The sequence below is a fragment of the Homo sapiens genome, chromosome 4 (genome assembly GCF_000001405.40).
Source record: "Homo sapiens chromosome 4, GRCh38.p14 Primary Assembly".
NCBI classification, from domain to species: Eukaryota; Metazoa; Chordata; class Mammalia; order Primates; family Hominidae; genus Homo; species Homo sapiens.
The window spans coordinates 28,597,917-28,603,916 of NC_000004.12; the positions used below are offsets into that span (position 1 = coordinate 28,597,917).

The window sequence follows — 6,000 nt, forward strand, 5'->3', positions numbered from 1 at the left end:
TTACTCTCAAGAGCACAAATATAGCAGGGTTGAGGCCAATGACCTACTTACACCCACAAAGCACTTTCTCTAAACTTGAGGCCATTTCTCTCCCTAAATAGAACCAATAATTAAAATAGTGAGTGTTTCACTCAGGTGCACTAATTGAGTCTGAAGCTGGATTTCATAAGTAAGCTTTTGTTGTTAAAGAATACAGCTATTTATCTATCTATATATCCTTTAACAAATATATAAATTATATTTAATTATATATTATATATTTAATTATTTATATTTATATATAATTATATGTTATATATATTGGGGATCATGGGGGCAGTTGTCCCCATGCTATTCTCTTGAAGGTAAGGTCTCACAAGCTCTGATGGTTTTATAAGGGGCTATATATATAATTATATATATAATTAAATATAACATAATTATATATAATTATATTATATAATTAAATATAATATATATTTGTTATATTTCTATCTCAGTTTGGGGATACAAGTCAGACATTCGTTTTCTCTCATTCTCCAGAAAATAAAATTACATTTACAAATTTTATACATGGTCAAAAAATAGCAGCTAGGTTAGAGTAATTTCTATTTCATTTTAAAAATTCAGAAGTTCTAATTATTAGCATCCTGATTATGATAGCTGCAAAAATCCAAGAATATTTGGCTTGTCCTCATTAATTTTCCATCCAGTTGAGAGCATTAACAGTTTCTGTAGACAGTAGCCAAATGCATCTGAGAAGCAACCAGTTGATTGCTTTGAAACCTAAAGGACTATAAGACACTGTCACAAGGTAAACTCTGTGTATGAATAGGAGAGTCAGGTTTATAGCGTTTAAAGATTATCTTCATTTGTATTTCAAAACAGACAGAAAGGTCTTTTGGGAAAAGTACAAGATCAAACATCCTTGTAGAAAATAAATATTATTTGGGGAGGAATCCAAAATAGCCCATTTCTGCAAAGTAATCAAATGCAATCTGCAGTTATTATTTGGCTCATATGTACATATTATTTTATACAGTGTATGGGTACTGGGACTCAGACAATGAATTTTTTAAAGGGTGACAACTGAAGAAACAGCTTATCCTTTTGACCGTTGCTTATTTGACAGCCCTTTTAAAACTGATATCTATAATGGATATTCCAGGTTGACTAAATTGAAGTTTGTTGGGTATAAAACACTTCTGCTAGACTGTAAGCACATGCACTTCAGAAACCCATGTCTTTTTTGTTTATTATTAGAGCCCCAGCGTCTAGGGGAAGGGCACTTGCTAATCTTCATCTTCCTTTAAAACTGTTTCTGTCTTGGTTACAAGAGCAAAAAAGTCACACAGACTAGGGATTACAAACTCACCTTTCCTTGGTTCAAGTGTCAAGTGACCTGAGCCAAGACAATAAGATTTTTTCCTTATGATTTTAATTTCTGAAACAGGAAGAAATTGGAGATGCTGTTTTTAGATGAGATGCTGTTAAGATAAAAGAAAAAGATACTTACTGCCATAGTTTCAATGTTCAGAGAAATTCCTCACAGTAAAACAGAACATGACATTGATGCATGAAATAGAGAGAAGAGACATCCCTAAATAAAGTCATCTGTTCTTAGCCAACCCTAAATGATGCAGTTTAAGCTGTCCTAATTTCATGATTTTGTTACATGACCCAATAAATTTCTTTTTATACCTTAAACTAACTCAAGTTGTGTTTTTTTGAATTAAACTAGAATTTTTTTTTTTTTTTTTTTTTTTTTTTTTTACTAATTCCCTTAGCACATTCAGTTCCTCCAGTGAATCTCTATAAGATTCAAGGAAAAGCTTCTTAACCTTCTCACATTTTTATAGAACAAGAGTGTGGGTCTAAACAATTGCCATGTCCATCTTATACTCTGATTCTCTCTCTCTGGATACTGGTCTATAAAACTTCTCATGACGCTTGTGGTTGCCACAGTGTGATAGATGTTAGCTAGAATGTAACAAAAAAATCCTCCTATTATTACCCAATTTTTATGTACTCATCTTTTACTCTGATACCTCTACCTCTCAACCGTTTCTCCTACTCTCCTTAAAGAATTTGTTACTAAACTTGCAGTATCAACATGGAATTCAAAAATTACCTCTGCTTTCTCCATTTCAGGCTGAACCTCGCTGGTGATTCAGATGGATCATGAGGATCTTTCAACAAAGCTAAGTTCCCGTCTTTTAACGCAGTTATTCTCATACTTTTATACTGAAATATCCAGAATAGCAAATGAGTTAAATATGTTTTCTGTGGGGTTCTGTACAAAGAAGATTTAGAGCTTTATGAACCTAAAATAACATATCACAAGGAGAAAATTTACTTGAAGTGGGAGACTTGGCTTAAAAGCATCTAATATAAATTGTATATTATATTCAATAATACAAAAGCAATGCTTTATTTAGAATGAATTAAAATGCATGCTTCAGACAAAATGCATGATGTTTAGCTTTTGATTTACTGAATATACTATTCAACAGATGTTTGAGTTACATAGTTTGAGGAGCACAGGCCTTTGGTATTGATGGCTCCTGTTAAAATAAAAACATGTTTTCTGAGAGCATAATCATATGAAACCAGGAGCACATATTAACATAAAACTCAAATCACTTCCCCTGACTTTCTTCTTTCAAATGTAAAGAAAGTGGGAAACAGGACAGATGAATTTGAAGAAACAGAAGAGCTCAGGAAAGTTCAAAGCATGAAGCAAACTCAAAAGTATATCTAAATACCTAGGGAGCACCTTCAAAGCACAAGGTACCTGAAGATGAAACGGCAGAAGTGAAAAGAATTGCTCGTGTAGTACAGGGCTAAAATTGTACCTGAAGCATCTCTGCTGCTATCCCAGGAGAAGAAGAGTCGACAGTAGCTATGGTAAACATGCATGGAAGCATCAGGGAAAACAGAAATTTAGAGAAGCAGATAGAGTGAGCCCAAGGCAAGATAAGGGTTTCTGGGTCTGAATTTCAGAAAAGCCTGACTATGGAGAGTGGGAGTTCCTGTTTTCTTTCAGTGACTTGCTAATTTCAATTTTGTGTGTGTGTGGCATTAACAGATTTTTGCCTAACTTGGGACATTTTTAACAGTAGAGGAACTCTTCTGTCAGTTCTGATATGGTAATTTTAAAACACATATTCTTTAACTGAACATTCATTAAATCACTTGGCCAGGAATCCAAATAACAAAATGTCTGTCATGGAATTCTGTGTGTAATAGGAGTTATGTAACTTGTTTCTTCTTAGTAGAGAGAATAAAAAGTAAAGTCAAAACCACCCCCAGATGACCATTTTTAGCACTTTCATTTTATCGGGAGAGGTGAGCAACATGCAGAAAATATATATTCTTGAATTAATCTCCTTTGGGTACAGAGAGAAAAGAGCTCATTATTCTTCTAACTGGCAACGTTTGATTTTATTGACACCCTAACAGTATGTCAATTGCTCAGTATATCTCCCTAGGCTGTAGTCTTGCAGACTTTCTTTTTTCTTTTTTTTTTTAACTTACCAATTCTATGATGTATTCCCATGGATGTCTCTTTTTATGCTATTTTACAATCTATTTCTAGAATAATCATGGAAATTTCAATGGAAACAACATATCACATTCTCTGTCTACTACATAAGTATGTCTTTTTTATTTGTAAATAGATCATATTTTGCACATAATTAGGTAATACCCACATATCTCAATTTGGCTTAGGAATTATATTGAAAGATAGAATTGCATAAGGGTAGGGATTTTACTTTTAAATTATTTTCATGTCTCCATGGATTGGCTCTGTGCTTTACACCCAGTAGCTGTGAAACAAGTACTTATTTAATGATGAATGAATAAATAAATAAATAGTTAAATGCAGCAACAAAAATGTTGGTAGATATATAGGATTGTAGAATCTAATTGCTTAGTAGGATCATCAAGTTCTACCCAAATTTGGTGTGGCAAACAGAACAATGGTCCCTTAAGGATGGCCTAGTCCTAACCTCCCAAACCTGGAATATGTTACCTTATGTAACAAAGAGACTTTGCAGATGTAATTAAGTTAATGATCTTAAGACAGAAATATTATTCTAAGTGAACTCAATGAAATTACAATGAACAATGTTCCTTAAAAGAGGAAGGCAAAAGTTCAGAATGAAACACACAGACACACATAAAGTGGCTACGAAAGCAGAAGTAGTGAGAGATTTGAAGATGCTACCTTACTAGATTCAAAGACAGAGGAAGGGGTTAAAATCTGAGGAAATCAGGCAAGGCAGCCTTTCGAAGCTGCAGAAGATGAGGAAATGAATTCTCCCTAGAACTTCCAGATAGAAACAGCCCTACTGATGCCTTGACATTAGCTCAGTGAAACGTATTTTCAGACTCTAACTTCCAGATCTGTAGGAGATAAATTTGTGTTGTTTAAGCTACTACATTTGTGGCAGTTTGTCAAAGTAGCAAAAGGAAACGTATATTTGGTAGGCATCAGAATTTCCTGAGCAATATAGTGTGATTACCTTTGAAAATTCTACTCAGCAGTCCTGGAATTGCAGCCTGAAATTTGAAATTTACTAAGTGCTCCCACTATATCTGAGTCAGGAATTACCTAGGAAACCATGATATATTGCATTACACTAATTTTGTACTTGAGAAAAAGCACAATGTTAAAATCTCAAGAACATTAATATAGACTTAAGTACAATTTATCATGTAAAAACATATTTGAAAAAGTAAGCCTGAAAAAAAGAAACAACTGAACTATTAACACTATATTCTCTAACTATATATTGATTTTCTCCTTTTGCTTTTACACAGCGAACCACATATACTTTCACAGAGGGTGATTTGGATAATATGTTCCATGCATTGCTCCAAGCAGAAATTCTCAATCTATCATTTCTGCTTGTATTATTTTACACCTCTTAAAGACATTCACATTCCATCACAGGGAGCCAAAATCAGCCTGTTATATCTCTGTTTGCGAATACCGCAATACTTACTTTACTTTCTCCTGAATAGATTGTTAGTGGTTTTTATTATCTCCTGTAAAGAGTGTGAGAAATGCATGTTGCAAGGACACTTTTGTTTTATTCACATTATTCTACTGAATCATGCTAACCATAGCATTACATCTATTTATCTATCTAGCTATTAAACATATTCAGAATACCTAACAACTTTAGGGGCATTCAGTATATAGAATATGCTAGTATTTGTTATTTTCTAAAAATTAATAATTAAGAATGTCATTCTATTATTGCATTAGTGACTTAGTTAAAATTTAGACCATTAACAAAAAAGAGATGAAAAAAAAAACAAAAAACATTAGGCACTAAAGGAGTCCTCAGCAATGGCTTTTTCAAAATGATAATTTGGCATCATAAAGCGGGTATTTGGTAACCATACTCTATTACAGAACAGCAAATGGAATTTATGTTCTATTTTCCCATATCCACTTCTTTACTATAATTTAGCAATCATTGTAATTCTTACTATATAGTTATTTCAAATTTGATATGATTCTTAAAGATGCTCTGATAGTAACATTTTCTTTAGTGCCTCATGTCACTCTCTCTCTCTTTCTTTAAAAAATAAGTTGTCTTTACAGGAACAAATTTCACTATAGATGCCTGACTTTCTCCTTTCAAAATGATTATTGAAACTCATTGAGATCTGGCACTCTGTGTTTCTTATTTTTATTCCGTACGTAGGAAAAAAAGAACTCAGAGACACACATGGTTTTAAGAGGCTGTGACTGTCAACTCTGCCCCTTCCTATTGAATATTGAAGCCTTTATGTTATTGAATACATTGAATATATTGCAAATTGGAACCCCATTAATAGGATTCTAAGAAGCCTTACTACTAGATCTGGATTCTAAGCCTCCTTGCTTGTATGATAGGTTATTGTCTGAGACATTAAGCAACTAGACCTATGTTGGGACACTTGCTTCACAAGGTAATGCGATGTATTAATAATGAGGAAAGAAAAATTGCCCTGCTTGTGCTA

The 6,000-nt window shown here is 33.2% G+C and overlaps 1 long non-coding RNA gene across 3 annotated transcripts in view; it reads left to right on the plus strand.

The window, feature by feature from the left end:
* Positions 1-5,283, plus strand: part of LOC105374557 (uncharacterized) — a 485,690-nt gene extending 480,407 nt beyond the window's left edge. For all 3 annotated transcript variants that reach the window (NR_188396.1, NR_188397.1, NR_188399.1), the window contains one exon: positions 2,131-5,283. This is a non-coding gene — a long non-coding RNA (uncharacterized LOC105374557). The remainder of the gene's footprint in view (positions 1-2,130) is intronic.
* Positions 5,284-6,000: the final 717 nt, after the last annotated feature.